Genomic DNA, 25,826 nt, shown 5'->3' with positions numbered 1-25,826 from the left:
GACCTTTGCCTCCCGGGTTCAAGCTATTCTGTCTCAGCCTCCCGAGTAGCTGGGACTACAGGTGCCCACCACCACACCTGGCTAATTTTTGTATTTTTAGTAGAGATGGGGTTTCACCATATTGGCCAGGCTGGTCTTGAACTCCTGACCTTGTGATTTGCCCAACTCGGCCTCCCAAAGTGCTGGGATTACAGGCGTGAGCCACCGCGCCTGGCCAAGATCAGTATTTTCATACCCATTTTACAGGTGAGAAAGGTCATGAAACTTCTAAGTGGCTGAGCTGGGATTAGAAAACCGATCTGAGGTCTGGCATGGTGGCTCACGCCTGTAATCCCAGCACTGTGGTAGGCTGAGGTGGGCAGATCACCTGAAGTCAGGAGTTCAAGACCACCCTGGCCAACATGGTGATACACTGTCTCCACTAAAAATTAAAAAAAAATTAGCTGGGGGTGGTGGTGTGCACTTGTAGTCCTAGCTACTCGGGAGGCTGAGGCAGGAGAATTGCTTGAATGATTCTCGGGAGGAGGAGGTTGCTGTGAAATGAGATCGTAGGTTGCAATGAGCTGAGGTTGCAGCCAGCTGAGATCGCGCCACTGCACTCCAGCATGGGCGACAAGAGCGGAAACTCTATCTCAAAAAAGAAAAAAAAAGAAAGAAAGAAAAGATAACAGATCTGAGTTCAAGCGTACATTCTTTCCCCCAGTCTCAGTTCCTTCATTTCCCAGACATCCTCAGCATCCTGATCACTCTCTGGGTTAGTGTTTCTCAAACTGATGATTTTAAAAATCTGAACGGGGTACGGTGGCTCACACCTGTTATCTCAGCACTCTGGGGGCTGAGGCGGGAAGATCACTTAATCCCAGGAGTTCGAGACCAGGCTGGCAACACGGCCGAATCCTGTTTCTACGAAAAATACAATAATTAGCTGGGTATGGTGATACGTGCCTGTGGTCACAGCTACTTAGGAGGCTGAGCGGGGAGAATGGCTGTGCCTGGGAGGTGGAGGCTGCAGTGAGCTGTGATTGCACCCCTGCACCCCAGCCTAGGTGACAGAGCAAGACCCTGTCTCAAAAACTAAAACAAAACAAAATTCTGGTTGAGTAGGATCATTGTTGTTATTACAGAACAAAAAGAAAAATATATATTTGGAAAGTAGTGTGCTAAGCAAATTGAAAGAAGTTTCTATACTTTAGCACTTCCCAGAGCTTTGGATATGCTAAGTGCATTTTGAAGCTCTAGGAGGAATATAGAGGACTCAGGGTATTCTAATCCTATTTGACCCCGAGACTTTTTTTTTTGGTAGAATTATGGTCACCAGTATTCTCTTTGGTGTACACTGCTCTGAATTCATTTTTCTTTGTCAGTATTGTTTTGAAAATGTGGTATCTGCTGGGTGCGGTGGCTCACTCCTATAATCCCAGCACTTTGGGAGGCCGAGGCAGGTGGATCATGAGGTCAGGAGTTCAAGACCAGCCTGGCCAAGATGGTGAAACCCTGTCTCTACTAAAAATACAAAAAGTAGCCAGGCACAGTGATGGGTGCCTGTAATCCCAGCTACTCGGGAGGGTGAGGCAGAGAATTGCTTGAACCCGGGAGGCGGAGGTTGCAGTGAGCCAATCGAGATTGCACCACTGCACTCCAACCTGGGCGACAGAGCTCAACTTCCTCAATACTATAGCTATTTTCTTACTTGTATTATTTTAAAAATTTTATTCCTTGTCGTATATTTAAATCTTCTTCTTTTTTCAGACATGGGGTCTCGCTGTGTTGCCCAGGCTAATCTTGAACCCCTGGCTTCAAGTAATCCTCCCACCTTGGCCTCTCAAAGTGCTGGAATTACAGGTGTGTGCCACCATTTCTGGCCTGAATCTTCAAGGATTGAACAGAAAACCCTAGTTTGAGACATTTTAGAAATTAGTGACACAAAATTGACTCTTAGAAGATGGGAATTTTTTAGTATTAAGCTGTTTTGAAGGAAGAACAATGGACTATGATTCAACAGATTTTACAGGAACAACACCAACAAGAGTCATCAGGAAACTATTTCTTAGACCTTGCTTCACTCAACCCAGGAGATTTATGATCCTGAGTTGTTCAGTGACAAAAAATACCATTTATCTTGAACAAAATGGGGCACTGACTGTTGAATTTGACCTGAGCTTTGTAATCCTGGAAAAAGGTTAAGGTTAATAAATCCCCTTCCCTGGCTGGGTGGGGTGGCTCACATCTGTAATCCCAGCACTTTGGGAGGCTGAGGCTAGTGGATCACCTGATATCAGGAGTTGGAGACCAGCCTGACCAACATGGTGAAACCCTGCCTCTACTAAAAATACAAAAACTAGCAGGGTGTGGTGGCACATGCCTGTGGCCCCAGGTACCCAGGAGGCTGAAGCACGAGGATCGGTTGAACCTGGGAGGCGGAGGTTGTGGTGAGCCAAGATCGCGCCACTGTACTCCAGCCTGGGCAACAGAGTGAGACTCTGTCTCAAAAAAAAGAAAAAAAAGAAATTCCCCTACCCTTTGTGTTCCGGAAATGGGCTTATTGCAAAGAACCACACTTCCCCCTAGGATTTAGATAAGATTCACAGATGTCCCTCTTGTTCACCTATGCCAAGGCCAGACCCTCCAGGTTCCCATTGTCTGCCTCATAAAGACTAGTTGAATTGCTTATGTCCATGGAATCAAAACTGTAACAGAGTGCTAGTTAATCCAACTTTGATTAAGTTTCTCCCCTTCCCCCAGGCTCCTAAATTTTGGCTGCCCCTCAGTCTAAAAGTCCTTCCCTAAATGCCTCTCCCAAAAATAGGCTCACCTCAGGATAAAACATTGTCTGATCTGCTAACCAGTCATGCTACCCCCACCCTTTAATCCCACTTCTGCACGCCTGGTTCTTTCTAGCCTTGTTTACTCCTCTCTAAAAAAGAAAATCCCTTTTTGCCTAACCTTTCAGAGGCTTGCAGATGTTATTGTTCTCCCAGTTACCATTATCTTTCTCATACCCGCCACTTGCATTAATCCTTTCGAATAAGTTATCTCCTTATCTTAATCGGATTTGTTTTCTATGTGACTCACACAACTATTTTATTCCCTTGAAAGCAATGAGTTAGGTGGACACAGATAACATTTTAATGGAAACTTTTGAGGATACAAGAAGATATAGTTTGAAAGATTTGTTTATGGTGGTAACTAACGTTAATACCACAAACAAAAATAAGTAGTATAATAAAAATTCATTATAATAGGAATTTTCTGACAGAGTTGGAACTTAAAAGACTAGTCATAGTATAAACTAAATAGTGACATTTTCAATTCCAGGACCTAACTCTTTTAAAAATTATTCTGAAAATAATTTTAAAAATTAAGGTCTAAGCTATTTTGAATGATACTAAATGATGAATACATGTCATTATACATTTGTCAAAACTCATATAATGTTCAACATCAAGAGTGAATCCCTAATGTAAACTATGGGCTTTGGTTGATATGATGTGTTAGCGTTGGTCCATGGATTGTGACAAATGTACAGAATGTCAATGGTGGGGAGGCTGTGGGTGTCCAGTAGAGGGTGCATGTGGGAACTCTGTACTTTCCCCTTAATTTTGCTATAAACCTAAAACTGGTCTGAAAAATGGAGTCTATTTGTTTAAAAAAAAAAGTAACAAAACCAAAACCACGAAAAACAAAGTTCAGTTGATTTTCAAATTAATAACAAGCTCAAGCTCATTTTATACTGCCATGTCAAAAGGATATAATGAAATGGAAAACTTCTGAACTGAGTTTTGAATCATTGTTTCTTAGGTATATAGCTATATAAAGAAAGTCTTGTTTAACGTTTGAATCTAGAGACAACAACGCACTAGAAAAGTGGTTGTACTATCAACCCAGGCCCTATTCAAGCTGGAAAAATTGCGGTGCAGCTGGGTATGGTGGCTCATGCCTGTAATCTCAGCACTTTGGGAGGCTGAGGTGGGAGAATTGCTGGAGCCCAGGAGTTGGAAACCAGCCTGGGCAACACAGTGAGACCACATCTGAACAAAAAATAAAAAATTAGTTGGGTGTAGTGGCACCTGCCTGTGGTTCCAGCTGCTGGGAGGTTGAGGTGGGAGGATTGATTGAGCCCAAGCAGTTGAGGCTGCAGTGAGCCATGTTTGTACCACTGCACTCCAGCCTGGGTGACAGAGTGAGACCTTGTCTCTCTCTCTCTTTTTTTTTTTTTTTGCGGCAGACTCTCACTCTGTCCCAGGCTGGAATGCAGTGGCACGATCTCTGTTCACTGCAACCTCTGCCTCCCAGGTTCAAGCGATTCTCCTGCCTCAGCTTTCAAAGTAGCTGGGATTACAGGCACGCACTACTACGCCCAGCTAATTTTTGTATTTTTAGTAGGGATGTAATTTATATCATTTAATTTTTTTAATTTTTTTAAATTTTTTATTTTTTTGAGACGGGAGTCTTGCTCTGTTGCCCAGGCTGGAGTGCAGTAGCACGATCTCGGCTCACTGCAAGCTCCACCTCCTGGGTTCATGCCATTCTCCTGCCTCACCCTCCTGAGTAGCTGGGACTATAGGCGCCCGCCACCACGCCTGGCTAATTTTTTTGTATTTTTAGTAGACACAGGGTTTCACCGTGTTAGCCAGAATGGTCTCTATCTCCTGACCTTGGTGATCCACCCACCTCGGCCTCCCAAAGTGCTGGGATTACAGGCGTGAGCCACCGCGCCTGGCCTATATCATTTTAAAACAATGTATCAAAAACTATGGAAGACTATATCTACATTAATAGGCAATTTCAGAAAATTGGAAAATGCAGTTTTGTTTAAGAGTTCAATTTCTCATCATTTAATTACTTTTTTCTTTTTTAAAAAAAATCTAATGTATTTACTTATTATCATTTAATTAAAATATATATTTAGGCCAAGCACAGTGGCTCACGCCTGTAATCCCAGCACTTTGGGAGGCCGAGGTGGGCAGATCACTTGAGGTCAGGAGTTTGAGGCCAGCCTGGCCAACATAGTGAAACCCCGTTTCTACTAAAAATACAAAAATTAGCTGGGCATGGTGGCACATGCCTGTAGTCCCTGCTACTCGGGAGGCTGAGGCAGGAGAATCACTTGAACCCGGGAGGCAGAGATTGCAGTGAACCAATATCACACCACTGCATTCCAGCCTCGGTGACAGTGCGAGACTCTTTTTCACATACACAAAAAGTAAATAAATAAAAATAAAATAAAATAAATTAGCTGGGTGTGGGGGTGCACGCCTGTAATCTCAGCTACTGTGGAGGCTGAAGCACGAGAATCGCTTGAACCTGGGAGGCGGAGGTTGCAGTGAGCCAAGATTGTGCCACTGCACTCCAGCCTGGAGAACAGAGCGAGACTCTGTCTCAAAAAAACACAAAAATATATTTGTGTGTTAGAAAATTGGTGGTCCAGGTGTGGTGGCTCATGCCTGTAATTGCAGCAGTTTGGGAGGCTGAGGCAGGCAGATCAGTTGAGTCCAGGAGTTTGAGACCAGCCTGGGCAACTAAAAATACAAAAAAATTAGCCGGATATGGTGGTGCACGCCTGTGGTCCCAGCTATTCCAGAGGCTGAGGCGGGAGGATCACCTGAGCCCGGGAGGCAGACGTTGCAGTGAGCTGAAACCCCTGCCACCACTCAGCACTCCAACCTAGGTGACAGAGTGAGACCCTATCTCAAAAAAAAAAAAAAAAAAGTGAAAAAACCTTACATTATCCATAACATAAAAGTATAAATATGTGTATGTACATATTTTTTTCTCATGTATTAGCCAAAGGGTAAAAATAGTACTTTTTACAATATTTTTATCATAAACAATTTCAAAATAATTTAAAGAATGGTACAATGATGATTATTTATATTCAGCAATCGTTAATGTTTCCCCATATTTTCATTATCAATCTCTATGTGCTTTGTTTATGGGTGTGTTTCTTAGCCATTTGAAATTAAGTTGTAGACATTTTGAAACTTCATCTTTAAATATTTCAGCATGTATCAACCAAGAATAAGGGGACTGGTCTACTTAATCATATGCCAGTGGAGAGGGAAGCGGTGGAAGTAGTCTGCTCTGGGTGCAGGGAATAATTGGATACACTGTCTATAAAGAATTAAAAATACATGTAATAAAAACCGACCATACACCAGCAATTCTAAAAATGTCACTAACAAAATACTTCTTGCTAAGAAATTTTTTTTTTTTTTTGGTTTACACTGTCAACAATTGTTGCATTCTGTTGAATAATACATATAAGCTTCAAGTGACCTCTTTTTTTTTGAGACAGAATCTCATTCTGTTACCCAGGCTAGAGTGCAGTGGTGCCACAGCTCACTGAAGCCTCCACCTCCCGGGTTCAAGCAATTTTCGTGCCTCAGCCTCCTGAGTAGCTGGGACTACAGGTGCGCACCACCACACCCAGCTAGTTTTTACATTTTTTGGTAGAGACGGGGTTTCACCATGTTGGCCAGGTTGGTCTCGAAATCCTGACCTCAAGTGATCCACCCACCTGGGCCTCCCAAAGTGCTGGGATTATAGGAGTGAGCCACCGTGCCTGGCCAAGTGAGCACTTTTTATTATTTTAAAGTAAACATTGTGTTCCAATGGCAACTAAAGAGTTTTATTTTATTTTATTTTATTTTATTTTATTTATTTTTGAGACGGAGTCTCACTCTGTCTCCCAGGCTGGAATGCAGTGGCGCCATCTTGGCTCACTGCAACCTCCACCTCCTGGGTTCAAGAGATTCTCCTGCCTCAGCCTCCTGAGTAGCTGGGATTACAGGCACGTGCCACCACGCCTGGCTAATTTTGCGTTTTTAGTAGAGACGGGGTTTTACCACGTTGGTCAGGCTGATCTGGAACTCCTGACCTCGTGATCCACCCACCTTGGCCTTCCAAAGCGCTGGGATTACAGGCATGAGCCACCAAGCCAGGCCAACTAAAGAGTTTTAAATACAAACTTGGCCCCTTGGTGTCCTGGGATTGAAATACAAGCATTAGTTTTGAAAATAAATTCTAAATGGAAATGGCTTGGAATTGTGGAACTAGAGTGAGTGGGTATGGGGAGAGGGAAACACAGTTTGTGTTTCCAACCCCTGTAGTACTAATATTCCTGCATCTAGATGGTAGGTTTGAAAGGAGCAATGATGGCATGGTCATTGTAACGATAAGAAAAAGAATGTGAATTACAGCAATTCTGTCACTCAGCACGACCACTTGGATATTTTATTCGAGAGTAAAATTAAGTACAGTGAAACAGAGGTGCAATATTTTTGTTTGGTAATTTTACAACATTTTCTAAAGTCTAAACATCTTTTTGTGGATGGAATTCAGCCATGGGTCAGGCCTAGTTTTGTAAGGGCTGGGTCTCATGAAGTGTTTGGGGACAAATACCAGAACACATAACTTTAGAGAGGCTGGAACTCCTGCACAGAAAGCTAACTAGTTTTAGTTGATAAATAGACTATCCTGGTTAACATAAATAATATCTTTATATTAGCTGGAATTCTTCTTATTTAATTGCAATGAAATGCTAACATCATTATTCATTACTATAAACAACCAATATGTAGGTATAATTTTCACCTTAACAATTAATGCGATTACAGTAAATAGTATTAATGCTTTATAATTTCGTGTATGTGTGTAATTTTTTTTTTAATTGTATTGCATTTGTTTTTTTGTTGTTTTTTTTTTTTGAGACGGAGTCTCACTCTGTTGTCCAGGCTAGAGTGCAGTGGTGCGATCTTGGCTCACCACAACCTCCGCCTCCTGGATTCAAGCGATTATCCTGCCTCAGGCTCCCGCCTCAGCCTCCTGAGTAGCTGGGACTACAGGCATGTGCCACCATGCCCGGCTAACTTTTGTAGTTTTAGTAGAGATGGGATTTCACTGTGTTGGCCAGGCTGGTCTCAAACTCCTGACCTTTTCATCCCAAAGTGCTAGGATTACAGGTGTGAGCCATCGTGTGTCGCCTGGTTTTTTTTTTTTTTTTTAATTTTTGGTAGAGATGAGGTCTTGCTATGTTATCCAGGCTGGTCTCAAACTCCTGACCTCAAGCAATCCTCCCTCCTTGGCCTCTCAAAGTGGGATTATAGGCATAAACCACCACTGCTGGCCTCCTGGCATGTTTTATACATATGAAATTTTATATATATATGAAGTTCAATAAAATAAAATTTCAGGCCTGGAGGCTGAAGCAGGGAGATCTCTTGAGCATAGGAGTTCAAGGTTGCAGTGAACTATGATCTCACAATTGCATTCCAGCCTGGGTAACAGAGCAAGACCCTGTTTCTAAAAAATATTTTTAAAGTAAAAAAGAAATTAAATTTTACTGTATTTTTCTGGTTATTATTAATTTGATTTCATGATTGTTACTGAAAGTAATTTTGTCGTATGAAAAAAGTAGGGATTTAAAAATGATTAATTCTAGGTATCAGATAAACTAGATGTGCCATTGATCATGCCCTGAAGGATTAGCAATACTTCCCTATTGTCATTAACATTCACCCAACTGGCACTTTTTAGACTTTAGATTTTGCAAAATTTGGTCAGATTGAGGAGGAAGGAAGAGAATATTAGATATTTCTACTATCTTACTTCTCCTAGAAAACAAACTAGAGGCCAGGCGCGGTGGCTTACACCTGTAATCCCAGCACTTTGGGAGGCCGAGGCAGGCAGATCACGAGGTCAGGAGTTCGAGACCAGCCTGGCCAATATGGTGAAACCCCGTCTCTACTGAAAATACAAAAAGTAGCTGGGCATGGTGGTACATGCCTGTAATCCCAGCTACTCAGGAGGCTGAGGCAGGAGAATCGTTTGAACCAGGGAGTTGGAGGTTGCAGTGAGCCGAGATCGCGCCACGTCTCAAAAAACAGTAGAGCAAGAATGAAGAAACAGAATTGCTAAACATTAGTAATATGATAATAACAATAAAACCACCCACAATGATAATGTATTTAGAAAACACTTGCTAACTGGTCTAGCAGAAAATGAATTACAACAGTTTTGCAGAATTTATAGCCTCTTCCACCTAGAAATAAAGAACCATTTGTAACAGAATGGGGACCCTCCAGAGGGCTGGATCCATTAGGATGGAAGTAGGGCCCCTTGGCTGCTGTCTGTGTGCCAGCACAGGTGACCACAAACTCTGCTGACAGCAAGACAATAATTTTAGGAGGTAAGAATGTTTTCCTTCTGCTATTGCATCAACGATCCCTAAGGTTTGAGAAAAATGAAAAAGCACTTCAGTTCCTGTTTTACCCCCCTTAAATTGTGGACAGTAACTCTGGAGAACCTATCACTAGTTTGTCGAATATTTCTTCCAGTTTATACTCCTCCCCACCCTCACTGGGAAGTATAGTAGAGTGGAGAAAAGCCTGCAATTTGTGTGGATTCTAATTTTTATTTACTTGGGTAAATTATTTACCTTCCTAGTACTTCTGGGCCTTCATTTGAAAACTGAGGATAATAAAATTCCCTCCCTAGGACCATTTATTGAATACTTAGGACACCCAGAGCTGTTTGTGAGCATTTCATGTGTATTAACTTGTTGAATCCTCACAACAGATCCTATGAGATCAGAACTATTAGTAATCTCCCTTTACCGAGGAAACTGAAGTTAAGTAATTTGTCCAGGTTTGTCTTATTAACACTTCCTTAATCACTCTACTTATTCAAGTAGCCTTTGAAGCTTTGTCACAAAATCAATGTTTCACAAATTTCTATAAAATCATGACATTAGAGAAGCACCTAATCCAGCGGTCCCCAAACTTTTTGGCACCAGGGACTGGTTTCATGGAAGACAGTTTTTCCATGGACTGGGAGGGCAGTGGGCAGGGGTTGGTTTCAGGATGAAACTGTTCCACTTCAGATCATCAGGCATTAGATTCTCATAAGGAGTATGCAACCTAGATCCCTCACATGTGCAGTTCAAAGTAGGGTCTGTGCTCCTATGAGAATCTAATGCCGCTGCTGTTCTGATAGGAGGTGGAGCTAGGGTAGTAATGCTCACTAGCCTTCGGCTCACCTCCTGCTGTGCAGCCCGGTTCCTAACAGGCCATGGACCAGTACTGAGGGCTGGGGACCCCTGACCTAATCCAGTGATTCTCAAACCTAATGTACATGAGGATCACCTGCATGGCTTGTTAAAACTTAAGTTGTTGGTCCCCACCTTCAGAGTTTCTGATGCCCTAGGTCTGGTATGGGGCTCAATAATTGCATTACTAACACATTCCCAGGTGATGCTGATGCTGCTGGTCTACACTTTCTTTGAGAAAGCTACAGCTCTAAACTAACTTTGTCAACTGACCAGTCTGCTTGTTATGACACTTTGGTCGCGTCTGCTCTGAATGTTGTTGGCAAATGTGCAGAATGGCCTCAGGAGTGTGAGGCTGACTCATCAGGTTACTGTGACCTGTATTAGCTGCAGCTGGTGGCTGATTTCAAAATGGAGCAATTAAAGATTAAGACATCAAATCACAGGAAATTAAGATGAAGCACCACCAAGTATAAAACTCATAAAATTGCTAGCATTCCCCTGTTTTTGTCACACACGTGCATCCTGTTTTGCTCTGTTATTCTATCTGACATAAGACCACACCCTGAACAAACAAAAGACTGTCTCTGCCGTCAGAAACTGATCAGGCTCACAGGTGGGCAAGAAAATGGATATATATTCAATGAAATACGATTCTGGTGCTGATAATTTTATTTATTTATTTATTTATTTATTTTTTGAGACAGAGTCTCGCTCTGTCGCCCAGGCTGGAGTGCAGTGGCACGATATCGGCTCACTGCAAGCTCCGTCTCCCGGGTTCACGCCATTCTCCTGCCTCAGCCTCCCAAGTAGCTGGGACTACAGGCACCTGCCACCACGCCTGGCTAAGTTTTTTTGTTTTTTTTTTGTTTTTTGAGACGGAGTCTCGCTCTATCGCCCAGGCTGGAGTGCAGTGGCGCGATCTCGGCTCACTGCAAGCTCCGCCTCCCGGGTTCACGCTATTCTCCTGCCTCAGCCTCCGGAGTAACTGGGACTACAGGCGCCCGCCACCGTGCCCTGCTAATTTTTTGTATTTTTAGTAGAGACGGGGTTTCACGTATTAGCCAGGATGGTCTCGATCTCCTGACCTTGTGATCCGCCCGTCTCAGTCTCCCAAAGTGCTGGGATTACAGGCGTAAGCCACCGCACCCGGCCCGCCTGGCTAAGTTTTTGTATTTTCAGTAGAGACGGGGTTTCACTGTGTTAGCCAGGATGGTCTCGATCTCCTGACCTCGTGATCCACCTGCCTCAGCCTCCCAAAGTGCTGGGATTACAGGCATGAGCCACCGCGTCCGGCAGTGCTGATAATTTTAAAAATGACATTATAAAAAGACATATTACCCAAATTTTATAAATATCCATACTCTGTAACAGTGGCAGAGTATGAATCTGAATTTCTGTTGCCTCCAAAGAGTGGCTTCTTTATGCCAAAATAATTTCTCTGAGTGTTTTCTGAGTTAGAACTTCATGTAACTATTTCATATGGATTCATTATTGACTTACATGATATGGCTTCTTAGGATAAAAAACTGAAGCATATTTTAAGACAAATATATGAATTTGAAATATAGGCTAAGATGGAAACAAGATGAAATTTCATAATGCTAATTAATAATTCATTTAACTTCTTAGAAGTATATCTTCTGGGCCAGGCGTGGTGGTTCATGCCTGTAATCCCAGCACTTTGGGAGGCCAAGGCGGGAGGATCACCTGAGGTCGGGAGTTCGAGACCAGCCTGACCAACTTGGAGAAACCCCGTCTCTACCAAAAATGCAAAATTAGCCAGGCATGGTGGTGCATGCCTGTAATCCCAGCTACCCGGGAGGCAGAGGTTGCGGTGAGCTGATATTGCGCCATTGCACTCCAAGCTGGACAACAAGAGCGAAACTCCATGTCAAAAAAAAAAAAAAAGTAATGTATCTTTTGCATTTTTCTTTTTTTTTTTTTTTTTTTTAGTTTTTTTGCAGATCACAGAACTTTACTAAGATGGAATCATGGCTGGGAGCAGTGGCTCACGCCTGTAATCCTAGCACTTTGGGAGGCCAAGCGGGCAGATCACCTGAGGTCAGGAGTTCAAGACCAGCCTGGCCAACCTGGTGAAACTCCCGTCTCTACTAAAAATACAAAAAAAAAAAAAAAATTTAGCCAAGCATGGTGGTGGGCACCTGTAGTCCCAGCTACTCAGGAGGCTGAGGCAGGAGAATTGCTTGAACCCAGGAGGTGGAGGTTGCAGTGAGCCGATATCACACTACTGCACTCCAGCCTGGGTGACACAGCTAGACTCTGTCTCAAAAAAAAAAAAAAAAAAAGATGGAATTACCGCTAATTACATAAAAGCTACTTGTCTAAATCAAAACCCATGAGTTTCACATAAATTCATAGTTATAAAACTAGAAACAAATGTCATATTCAGAACCGTAAGGAAATATCCTGACGACTAGGTGATGAAGGCTGGCGTGAATGAGTCTGCCCATTTATTTCGAGCTGTTATTATCACTTGTCTTATCTGCAGCTGGTGCCCATTTATTTCAAGCTGCTGTGGGCCATGCAGTAGTCGCTTGCATACAAGAAGTCTCATCACAGAGCTGTAGCTGCTCTCAGGCCTTTACTCTTTTCTCCACCTGCTGGCATTGCTCTCTCACTGTTAGGGGATTCACTCATTCCTCTCCCTTGTCCTCCTCCTTGGGATCTCTAGGCCCAGTCAGCATCTTTTACTCGTCCTCCACTCCCATGTCCGGCTAAAGTTCTCAATTCAACAGCATCAGTGGCACCTAATCTACTTCAGGATCAATAAGCTGCATTTCTTCTTATATACACTCATTTTAAAAATTTAACTTGATTAGCACCAAGTAAAATGTTGCAAGTAATTACTTCCCTAATGTTTTTTCTAGAATTAGAACAAGATGAGTTTCTATTTTTGTTTTTCTGGGTTTTTTTAAATGTGCTTTTTTTTCTTTTTTTCTTTTTTGAGACAGAGTCTCCCTCTGTTGCCCAGCCTGGAGTGCAGTGGTATGATCTCGGCCAGCTCACTGCAACCTCTGCCTCCTGGTTTCAAGCAATTCTCCTGCTTCAGCCTCCCAAGTAGCTGGGATTTACCATACTCAGCTAATTATTATTATTATTATTTTTTTTTTTTTTGAGAAGGAGCCATCACGCTCAGCCCCTAGATGAGTTTTTAAATTTTTATTTTACTTTTTTAAGAATTCCAAGGGGAGCCGGGCGTGGTGGCTTACGCCTGTAATCCCAGCACTTTGGGAGGCCGAGGCGGGCGGATCACGAGGTCAGGAGATCGAGACCATCCTGGCTAACACAGTGAAACCCCGTCTCTACTAAAAATACAAAAAAAAATTAGCTGGGTGTGGTGGCGGGCACCTGTAATCCCAGCTACTCAGGAGGCTGAGGCAGGAGAATGGTGTGAACCCGGGAGGCGGAGCTTGCAGTGAGCCGAGATTGGGCCACTGCACTCCAGCCTGGGTGACAGAGCGAGACTCCATCTGAAAAAAAAAAAAAAAAAAAAGAATTCCAAGGGGAATCAAGGCAGTTTTATAAAAAATTCATTCTACTAATCTCTGAGTAGTACTTTTCTGAATCTGTTCAGTCTACTATTTCAAATGACTGCAGTGATGCACATAATTTAGGATGGAATTGATTTAAATAAAATTCATCTAAAATTCACTAAATTTAGATTTAGATTACTACCCAGGAAGGTGAAATGTAATGTTTGCAGCTTCCTATCTCTTATTTGATTTAACTATAATATGGTTCTCAACTCATAAATGTTTCATTTTTGGAAGGCCTATACAATACATTTCAAGTGGTAATTAGTTTTGATAATTTCTCCAATTATTTTTGCTCTCTAATCAGGAAAATGAAGCATTTGAAACAAATAATTGTGAATTCATTGAGAGGTTTAATCACCTCTGAGTCAGTAGGCTTATCATGATTTTGTTTGGCATGCTTTACGATTACGTTAATATATCAACCAACACCTGAAAAACCATGCACATGTAAATGTTTAGTTTGATTATAGCAAAAAATGCTGAAATTTTTCTGAAGACACACAAAAATGTTGTCGTTCATACAACCTGGAGAACAAATCTTTTACCTCCACCCCCTGACTCCTTCGGCGCTGAGTACAGCACAGGAAGTTAGTAAGTCCTCATGTTTGCGATCATTCCTTTGCAGAAATTAACATAGGAGATGACAGATGTCTTGCTGCTGAAACTAATGCTGCTTAAAGAAAGAAAAAACTGCAATTTTAGCATTTTGGCTTGGTATGTGTACAAGATAATAAGCTGTGTGAGTTTAGAAGCTTGGAACCAATTCAACTAACAGATGCCAGTATGGCTCAACAGTAATGTCACATGCCGTCTCCACTGTGATCTGTATCTCTGTGCTGATCATCTTGTATTAAAAGGGCTATTTTTACTCTTGATATGCCTTACTAGAAGTACGCTACCTTTGGAAATTATTGTTTATCCTTAGAAGAAGGTATTGTGTGTGTGTGTGTGTGTGTGTGTGTGTTTCATTTAATACACAGCACTAGGATGCTCTAGGGTGAGGGGACATGCCTTCAGATTACACTGACAGAAAGACTGGAGAGCCCTGGTTCTTGGAATACTGAAGCTCATGCTGGGCTGTCCTGGACTATCTCAGACATTTAATTGCTACCCTATGATTGGACTTGAGAAATTTTTCAAGTTTCCTCAGCAAAACATTTATAAATCATCTCTCAGGGTGAGTTAATTTTGCAGAACTAACGCTACCTATGACAAGAGCTAACATTAAATGCTTAGTATGGGCCAAGAACAGCCGAGCACAGCAGCTAACACCTATAATCCCAGCACTTTGGGAGGCTGAGGTGGGAGGATTACTTGAGCCCAGAAATTTGAGACCAGCCCTGGCAACATATCGAGACCCTGTCTCTACAAGAACAACAAAAAAAAGCATGGTTTTTGTTTGTTTGTTTGTTTTGAGTTTCACTCTGTCACCCAGGCTGGAGTACAGTGGTATCATCATAGCACTGCAGCCTCGAATCTTGCAGGCTCTAAAGATCCCTGACATCAGCCTCCTGAGTAGCTGGGACTGCAGGCATGTACCACCATGCTGGGCCAATTTTTAAATTATTTTTTAAGAGACAGGGTCTTGCTGTGTTGCCTAGGCTGGTCATGGACTCCTGGCCTCAAGCCACATCTCTACAAAAAAATTTAAAAATTAGCTGGGCATGGTGGAGAAAGGATCACTTGAGCCCAAAAGTTTAAGGCTGCAATGAGCTGCGAGTGAGCCACTGCACTCGTAGGCTGCCCACTCCAGCCTGGGCAACGGAGTGAGACCCTGACTCTTAAAAAAAAAAAGTTCCTATTGCGTGTGGCTGTTGGGAAAACAAAATTAGTTAGCATATATGAGCTCTTTAAAACAGTGCCCAACACTTAGTAAGCACTCAATAAATGTTAGCTTTTAATACTGTGGGTATCTGTTGTAGTTTTGGGATCAAACTTCACATAACTGCGAATATTTTAAAATGTCAAAACTTTGGATCCTTTTTCTTGGTATTTCCTAGCTTAGGAGCCTTAAGAAATCAGAATTCTCATTTCAGTCTGTCTCCACTCCTGCCCAAGCAGGAACTCCCAACTTTAAGGTATTGCGTAGGCAGGGATTCAAACAGGTAAAGGCAAGAGTTTGAGCAAGAGAAGGAGGAGGAGGGACAATAAGCTCAGAAGAAGGGCTGAGTGGGCATACTCAAGATGGGCATATCAAGGAACTGGTTACATACCAATACGTATGAAGCTTGTTTCCTATACACAAAGTCCACACTGATAGCTTGGCCAGCTGGAGGTGTCACTCTGTCAGTGGGTCCCACCCATTCCTCTGCTACCACCTGTCTTACTCCTACCTCCTGTCCTTCAGATACTCTCCATTTCCCCTCAACACTGGCCATTGCCACCACCTTCATGTTACAATGTCAAGGGGTGTCCTGATGCCACTGCAGAAAGTACCTATCTCTGTTCAGCCTCAAGAGAGGAACTTCATAAATCCAAGACATTGCCAGAGCTAGGCTCATCCTCCTGAAAAGGGTGACTGAAATGAGATAATTTTTTTTTAATAAAATGGGGGCTGGGCACAGTGGCTCACACCTGTAATCCCAGCACTTTGGGAGGCTGAGGTGGGCGGATCACTTGAGGTCAAGAGTTCGAGACCAGCTTGGCCAACATGGTGAAACCTCGTCTCTACTAAAACTACAAAAATTAGCTGGGCGTGGTGGCAGGCACTTGTAATCCCAGCTACTCAGGAGGCTGAGGCAGGAGAATTGCTTCAACCCAGAGGTGGAGGTTGCAGTGAGCTGAGATCATGCCACTGCACTCCAGCCTAGGTGACAGAGCAAGATTCAGTCTAAAAAAAATAAAAATAAAAATACAGATGGGGTTTTGCTACATTGCCCCATGGTCTTGAACTCCTGGCCGAGTGATTCTGCTGCCTCAGCCTCCCAAAGTTTTGGGATTATTGACCTACACCACCACACCCAGCCAGATAATTTTTAAGTTGATTCATTTTATTAAAAGCCAATGTTTAATTTTTTATTTATTTTTTAAAGCCAGTATTTTAAAGCCCTCTATCAGACAAAAACTCTTGGCGTTTTCCTTTAAGATATACTCATGTTCAAATACATCATTATAGACTAAGACATAATTTAAATTATGACATGTCCCATAATTTCAAATATATATTCCTTAATTTAGAATATATACTTCTTTTTTTTTTTTTTTTTTTTTAGACGAAGTCACGCTCTGTTGCCCAGGCTGGAGAGCAGTGGCACTATCTCAGTTCACTGCAACCTCTGCCTCCTGGGTTCAAGCCATTCTTATGCCTCAGCCTCCTGAGTAGCTGGGATTATAGGCACACGCCACCACACCCAACTAATTTTTGTATTTTTATTTTATTTTTTTTATTTTTATTTTTTTTATTTATTTATTTATTTTTTTTTTTTTGAGACGGAGTCTCGCTCTGTTGCCCAGGCTGGAGTGCAGTGGCGGGATCTCGGCTCACTGCAAGCTCCGCCTCCCGGGTTCACGCCATTCTCCTGCCTCAGCCTCCCAAGTAGCTGGGACTACAGGCGCCCGCCACTACGCCCGGCTAATTTTTTGTATTTTTAGTAGAGACGGGGTTTCACCGTTTTAGCCGGGATGGTCTCGATCTCCTGACCTCATGATCCGCCCGCCTCGGCCTCCCAAAGTGCTGGGATTACAGGCGTGAGCCACCGCGCCCGGCCCAATTTTTGTATTTTTAGTAGAGACGAGGTTTTACCATGTTGGTCAGGCTGGTCTTGAACTCCTCAACTGAGATGATCCACCTGCCTTGGCCTCCCAAAGTGCTGGGATTACAGGCGTGAGCCAGCACACCCAGCATGGAATATATACTTCTTACACCTTTGAATTTTAGGAACAAAAGGTACTTTTGAGAGCATTCCATTTCATGTTAGCATTTTTTAGTTGAGGAAACTGAGAGGTGGTGAGGTAAAGACATTTGTCCTCGTTCACAGGGCTAATTAGTAGAGCTGAGACAAGAACAGAATTCTCAGTCAAGAGTTATTTTTATTACATCATAGAGGACCTGTCCTCCAAAGTAATTACTGTCATTTTGAAGGGTTCCAGAATGTGAGGATATGTGGAAGAGTAGCATCAACAGCTCATGCAGAATGGGAGTTAGGGGTACTAGTGTGTAATCTTGGGAAAGTTATTCCCACCTCTTTGCAAGTCACAGTTTACCTGATTGCAAATGTTTCAGTGTGTTTGTAGAGTGTCTGCTCTATATTAGGGACAGAATCAGTATTAGATGCATGTAAATAAAAAACCATGTATGTATTTTGGCACCCAATAATTGTTAACTGTCATTTCTGAAAGGCACATTGTGGGAATCTAATAAAGTAACACCTTCCAGCTTTGCAAAATTGAGAATACCTAGGAACATCTACATCCTGGATCCTTTTCTAGGTCTTTCCCAACTGGGAGAAATAAGAATTATCTTCCTAACTCCAGCCTGTCTCCACCTCAGCCCAAGCAGGCACCATCCAACCAGTGTTCAGCCCAGTGCCTAAAAAAGAAATGTTTGTAAAAAGTAAATGCAATGGTATCTCTGGAATTTTTTTCTTTTTCTTTTTCTTTTTTTTTTTTTTGAGACAGAGTTTTGTTCTTGTTGCCCAGGCTGGAGTGCAATAGTGCAGTTGTGGCTCACTGCAACCTCTGCCTCCCGGGTTCACGAGATTTTCCTGCCTCAGCCTCCCGAGTAACTGGGATTACAGGTACTCACCATCATGCCCAGCTAATTTTTTTGTTATTTTTAGTAGAGACAGAGTTTCACCATGTTGGCCAGGCTGGTCCCTAATTCCTGAACTCAAGTGATCCACTCACCTCGGCCTCCCAAAGTGTTGGGATTACAAGCATGAGCCACTGCGCCTGACCTATACTTTTTTTTCTTTTTTTCATTTTTTGAGACGGAGTCTTGCATTGTCACCCGGACTGGAGTGCAATGGTGCGATCTTGGCTCACTGTAACCTCCACCTCCTGGGTTCACGTGATCCTCCTGCCTCAGCCTCCTGAGTATCTGGGATTACAGGCACATACCAGCACACCTGGCTAATTTTTTTGTATTTTTAGTGGAGACGGGTTTCACTATGTTGGCCAGGCTGGTCTCAAACTCCTGACCTCGTGATCCACCCGCCTTGGCCTCCCAAAGTGCTGGGATTACAGGCGTGAGCCACCGTGCTCAGCCTAGAATTTTTTTTCTAGACGGAGTCTTGCTCTGTCACCCAGGCTGGAGTGCAATGGCGTGAGCCACCGCACCTGGCCAGTATCTCTAGAATTTTGATATAAAAGTGACTTAGAGGTGATCATCTAGTTGGAATTGGAGATTAGCGGGCTTGAATGGAAACTGGATTTTCTAAAGGAAATGATGGTAATAAAATGGGTGTGGTCAATGTTCCCTTAAACCAGCCGTTGAAGTCACCGATGAATGAATCTGTAAATGAATGAATACAGCAGAGCCAGAGTTCTGTCTTAGCAGACACCACCACTGCGATGCAACCTCCAACTATACCGGGGATGGAAGGAATCTCAAAATGGGACCTCAGATGGCCTTTTCCTATATTAATGTATATTAATTGCATATTAATGTATCATTTTTACCTTTGACACCACCAGGCTAGAGAAGACTGCACTGTAATGGTTACACAAGAGATGCGTTCAATGGCTTCAAGGAAGATAACTTGAACATGGCTTTTGACCTAAGACTTGTGGCCCACAGCTTAGAAAACAATGTTCTAGAGTGTATAGTGTATATACTTTTTTTTTTTTTTTGAGATGGAGTCTCACTCTGTTGCCCAGGCTGGAGTGCAGTGCCACAATCTTGGCTGACTGCAACCTTCGCCTCCCAGGTTCAAGTGAGTCACCTGCCTCAGCCTCCTGGGTAGCTGGGATTACAGCTGGGTAGCTGGGATTACACCACACCTGGCTAATTTTTGCATTTTTAGTAGAGACAGGATTTCACCATGTTGGCCAGGTTGGTCTTCAACTCCTGACTTCAGGTGATCTGCCCACCTCGGCCTCCCAAAGTGCCGGGATTATAGACGTGAGCCACCACGCCCTGCCTACAGTGTATATACTTTTTTAAAAAATCTTTTCTTTGTGACAGGGTCTCTGTCACCAGGCTGGAGTACAGTGGTATGATCTCAGCCGTGAACACTGCAGCCTCTGCCTCCAGGGTTCAAGTTATTCCTGTGCCTCAGCTTCCCAAGTAGCTGGGATTACAGGTGTGCACCACCATGCCAGGCTAATTTTTGTATTTTTAGTAGAGATGGGGTTTTGCTTTGTTGGCCAGGGTGGTCTTGAACTCTATACCTCGGGTGATCTTTTCACTGACTGTAATGCACCCAAATGGTGGCTCAGCCTTAATCCAATGAGGTGGTTAGGTTAGCAGTTTTTGAACTGGTAGTGCTGGCTTTAAATTCTTGTTTTACTACCTGTTCTTCAAAGTGGTATGAGATTAATGAACCATTTTACATCTTGATGTGAAAGAAAATCATATGTATGAGCTATTATTGTTCTGTTTATAATCCAGAATGATCTGATGAGGTAGCATGTTTAGACACCTAAATGATAATGGAGAGTTTGTGTTGTTTTTAATTCATTTGATTGATTTGTTGAGTTTTTAATTAATTTGAGTTTTTATTTTTTTATTATTATTTATTATTTTATTATTATTTTTAACCCAATGGTTCTTTCAGATATATAATTTGAGTTTTTAATTGAACAGTGAGTTTTTAATTCACATGGAACAAGAATTACTCATCTTCTCTTTGTTGGCAAACTCCATCTTATCCATTTAATGCTGATCTCTTTTTTTTTTTTTTTTTTTTAGATTTATTTTTATCTCCATCTGGAAACTTGTCTGACTGGTCTTTGCTTCTGAAGACATCAGGTTATTAAAAAGTCTTGGCGTTCCTTCCTTGATGACTGCCCAAATGACTAACTAAGTTTGAGGCAAATTCTTTTTCTTTATTTTTTCACTATTTTAGTTCACTGCACAGATGTATGAGGCAAATTCTTGTTACATAACTTTGTCATATAATTCCAGAGAATCAACAGACATCAGTCATTAAAGTGTTTTTTTTTTTTTCATTACAAAGGACCACCATATTTATTAAAATTTATTAAATAGAATAAAGCAAGACTTTATTCTAGACTTTTAGTTTGTCTTCTTTGGTCTTCATGATTAGACTTTCTTTAGAAGATTGAAAGCAATTTTTCCTCTGTTGCTGAGACCTTTTCCATCTGGCAAATGCTGCCTTTTCAATGGAGCTGAAAAATGGCTTGATTTATTTTTGTTTGTTGTTTCTGCGTTTATTTACCAACGTAATTAATATTATCAAAACTGTTCTTGGAACACAGCTTAATCCCTCAGCTTTTGTTTTTGATGCTAGGATGATTAGCTCTAGAAGAAAAAAATTATACGCCAGGCATAATAGCAGCGGTAGCATTTCTTAACCTTCCTCCTGCCCACGTTTGTTTACTCACACATCCATCTGTAATGTCTCAGAATTAATCACTGTTCCTTTAGTCTAAAGATAATTGAGAGGCCTCTTTTCTGAGTCTTTACAATTGAATCTCTTCTGATAAATGGACCATAGGAACCATTCACTGACACAAATTCCCTTTTCTGAGAAAAGGAAGTTACTGTTTTTTTTGTTGTTGGTTGGTTGGTTGTTTTTGAGACAGAGTCTTACTCTGTTGCCCCAGGCTGGAATGCAGTGACACAGTCTCAGTTCCCTGCAACCTCCACCTCCTGGGTTCAAGCAGTTCTCCTGCTTCAGCCTCCTGAGTAGCTGGGACTACAGGCATGTGCCACCACACCTGACTAATTTTTGTATTTTTAGTAGAGACAGGATTTCACCATGTTGGCCAGGCTGGTCTCGAACTCCTGACCTCAGGTAATCCATCTGCCCCGGCCTCCCAAAGTGCTGGGATTACAGGCGTGAGCCACCGTGCCCGGCCAGAAGTCACTGTTTTTAACACAGCACTCCTTAGCCCCTCTCAGCCAGAATATTTTATTGTCATATCCCCATTTAAAAATGTTGGGTTATTTAATAAAAATGAATTTCAGCAATGCTGTTTTCATTCCATATGTCTTCCCTTCCCTTTATTTTTTAGAGACAGGGTCTCACTGTGTTGCCCAGGCTGGGTTTGAACTCCTGAGCTCAAGGGACCCTTCTGAATAGCTGGAATTACAGATGTGAGCCACTGTACTTGGCTCTCTTCCCTTTTCTTTTTAATTCCATGCTTAACCCTTTGTGACTCTAGTAAAAATATTTCCATAGTCCAACATGCTGGGATTCTGGACTAACAGGACCTAAAGTGCCAAATGTCCTGTGTTAACTCATAAGTTCCACTGATGATAAATTGTGCAATAAACAGTGCAATAGTGAGTTACTGATTTTTCTGCCAAAAGGAGGCATTTCTTTTCTCTATAAGAGCACCTGATTTTGAGTTGTTAAGGAACCACAATTCAGTCCATAATGGCTATTCTCTTTATTTGGCTCTTTCTCAATTATTCCATTTCCTTTAGTTTATTGTTCTTTTCTGCCACTAAACTAACTTTTTCATCTCTGCCTAAGATCATCTTTTTCACCCTCCCCATTTTGGTTTCTAAAGAAAACTTAGAAAAGGAAAGTGCAAAGGTAGAAATCCATGGTCAAGACTGTGAGAGAAAGAAACAGAGAGGAAAGAGAGGCTGAGGAGGGCCAGTAGCTGGTGAGTGGGTGGAGTAGATTGTCATTAACACTTCAGGGCTCCTTCTTCCTCAGCTAGCTAATCTAAAGCCAGGACTTGGCCATTGCAACTCCCTAGGGCTTCTGTTCACAACTTCAAGACCATTTGCAAGGCAGACTGCCTTAGAAGGCAATTGGTTAGTTATCTCCCTTGTTGGCCCACAGTGTGATTTTGCCACAGTACCCGCTGGCCTGGTATCATGGATATCTGACAAGCCTGCCTCATGGAGACCTAACAGATCTGCTTCTCTCTCTTCTTTCCTTTATTACACTCAGAGAGAGGCCCAGAGGAGGAGGAAGCTGCAGGCATATATGTCTCCCTCTATGAGAGAGCACTTGTGAAATTCACTGTGCAGAGAAAACAATGCTGTGGGGGTGTCATTTTCAGTTGTCCTATTGCTGGCATGACAATTTAAACAGTACTATTTCCCTGATCTGTTTGGGCTTGGTTTCCACTCTTGCATAATGTACATGCCAGATTCTTTGTACTGTGGACAGCAGAGAGCCCACAGATATCTGGGCTTGGAGAGCTGTAGGGTTCTCTAATTTTATGAGTCAAGCAGAGACTACTATATATATATGTAATCTCATATTCTTATTTCTCAAACAATATCTCAACATTAAAGGCCAGTTTTAATTGTTCTTACATATTTTATTAATTTATTTACATTTAGACTGGCTTATTTTCATCCACATAATCTGTCAGCATATCAACAGTTGTTTCAGATATTTAGATACTTTGATAATGCATTATTTACATTTCTCTTGAACGACAAAAACAAAACAGTATACAGTGCTATTTTAATCACAGTAGTGGCTCAAAGATTCTAAAAAGAAAAAAAAGGAAGCTCTTTCTTAACACAAGGAAACTAAGTGTACTGTGTTCTTTCACCTGCTTATAGGAATTTATTGGAAAAAATGGAATCAGAGATATTTGCCCTTTTTATTAAAATCAGCTTAATAGTTCTTAGCACCACTTTCTACCACATTGTATAATTAATCTTGGGGTACTAGATTCTCCAGATGTGTAGCTTTTTGTTTTCCTGGGGATTGTGACTTTTTTAAGTGGTTTTATTTTTTTAATTTATTTTAGGTTTAGGGGTACATGTGTAGGTTTGTTATATAGGTAAACTTGTGTCACGAGGGTTTGTTGTACAGATTATTTCACCACGCAGGTATTAAACTTACTAACCAATAGTTATTTTTTCTGCCCCCCTCCTGGCTCCCACCCTCCATCCTTAAGGAAGCCCCAGTGTCTGTTGCTGACTTCTTTGTTTTCACGATTTGTCATCATTTAGCTCCCACTTATAAATGAGAACATGTGGTAGTCGGTTTCCCTTCCCTTCCCTTCCCTTCCCTTCCCTTCCCTTCCCTTCCCTTCCCTTCCCTTCCCTTCCCTTCCCTTCCCTTCCCTTCCCTTCCCTTCCCTTCCCTTCCCTTCCCTTCCCTTCCTTTCCTTCCCTTCCCTTCCCTTCCCTTCCCTTCCCTTCCCTTCCCTTCCCTTCCCTTCCCTTCCCTTCCCTTCCCTTCCCTTCCCTTCCCTTCCCTTCCCTTCCCTTCCCTTCCCTTCCCTTCCTTTCCTTTCCTTTCCTTTCTTTTCTTTTGTTCTTTTTGAGACGGAGTCTCGCTCTGTTGCCCAGGCTGTAGTGCGGTGGCTCAACCTCGGCTCACTGCAAGCCCTGCCTCCCAGGTTCACGCCATTCTCCTGGCTCAGCCTCCCGAGTAGCTGGGACTATAGGCGCCCGCCACCAGGCCCAGCTAATTTTTCGATTTTTTTTTTTTTTTTTTTTTTTTGAGACAGAGTCTGGCTCTGTCCCCCAGGCTGGAGTGCAGTGGCGCAATCTCGGCTCACTGCAAGCTCTGCCTCCCGGGTTAACGCCATTCTCCTGCCTTAGCCTCCCGAGTAGCTGGGACTACAGGCACCCGCCACCGCGCCTGGCAATTTTTTGTATTTTTAGTAGAGACGAGATTTCACCATGTTAGCCAGGATGGTCTTGATCTCCTGACCTCGTGATCCGCCTGCCTCGGCCTCCCAAAGTGCTGGGATTACAGGCGTGAGCCACCACGCCCGGCCTCTTTTTGTTTTGAGACAAAGTTTCCCTCTTGTCTCCCAGGCTGGAGTGCAATGGCACGATCTCGACTCACTGCAACCTCCGCCTCCCAGGTTCAAGCGATTCTCCTGCCTCAGCCTCCTGAGTAGCTGGGATTACAGGCTCCCACTAACACGCCCAGCTAATTTTTTTTGTATTTTTCGTTTTTAGTAGAGTCGGGGTTTCTCCATGTTGACCAGGCTGGTCTCGAACTCCTGACCTCAGGTGTTCTGCCCCCCTCGGCCTCCCAAAGTGTTGTGCTGGGATTACAGGCATGAGCCACCGTGCCCAGCCCTGGGTTCTTTTTAAATATTTATTTATTTATTTATTTTTTTGAGACAGTGTCTCACTCTGTTGCCCAGACAGGAGTGCAGTGGCATGATCACGGTTCCCTGCAGTTTCAACCTCCTATTATATATATATATAATTATTATATATGAATATAAATATATAAATGTATATAAAATAATATACACATATATACACATATATACAATAAACATACATATATATAAAACTTGTCCAAGTGAGCCACTGCACCAGCCTATATGTATGTTTTTATATATATAATATATAGTATATATACTTAGTATATATACTAGTATATATACTTAGTATATATACTAATATATATACTATATATAATATATATTATATAATATAATACTATATATAATATATAGTATTATATAATATAATACTATATATAATATATAGTATTATATAATAAATATACTATATTATATATAGTATATATATTATATAATACTATAATACATATTATATATAGTATTATATACTATAATACTATATTATATATAGTATATTATATATAATATATAGTGTATATAGTGTATATATAATGTATATAGTATATATACACCATATATTATATATAATATATAATATATGGTGTATATATTATATATAATATACAATATATTTAATATATTATATATAATATACAATATATTTAATATAATATATAATATATGTAATATAATATATAATATATGTAATATATAATATATATGTGATATATAATATATGTAATATATAATATATGTGATATATTATATAATATATGTGATATATATGTGATATATAATATATGTGATATATATGTGATATATTATATAATATATGTGATATATATGTGATATATTATATAATATATGTGATATATTATATAATATATAATATATGTAATATATATTATATATTGTGTGTGTGTGTGTGTGTGTGTGTGTGTGTGTGTATACATTTTTTTTTTTTTTTTGAGACAGAGTCTTGCTCTGTTGCCCAGGCTGGAGTGCAGTGGCATGATCTCGGCTCACTGCAACCTCCACCTGCCGGCTTTCAAGCGATTCTCCTG

At 41.7% G+C, this 25,826-nt stretch overlaps 1 long non-coding RNA gene across 1 annotated transcript in view; it reads left to right on the top strand.

Moving 5' to 3' along the window:
• The window catches only part of LOC124901011 (uncharacterized), a 52,477-nt gene extending 31,698 nt beyond the window's left edge, over positions 1-20,779 (top strand). The window contains exon 2 of the long non-coding RNA XR_007058836.1: positions 20,456-20,779. This is a non-coding gene — a long non-coding RNA (uncharacterized LOC124901011). The remainder of the gene's footprint in view (positions 1-20,455) is intronic.
• Positions 20,780-25,826: the final 5,047 nt, after the last annotated feature.

The sequence above is a fragment of the Homo sapiens genome, chromosome 5 (assembly GCF_000001405.40).
Source record: "Homo sapiens chromosome 5, GRCh38.p14 Primary Assembly".
In the NCBI taxonomy this organism is placed as follows: domain Eukaryota; kingdom Metazoa; phylum Chordata; class Mammalia; order Primates; family Hominidae; genus Homo; species Homo sapiens.
The sequence above is the reverse complement of the archived record's forward strand: the minus strand, read 5'-3'. Positions and strand labels throughout refer to the sequence as shown.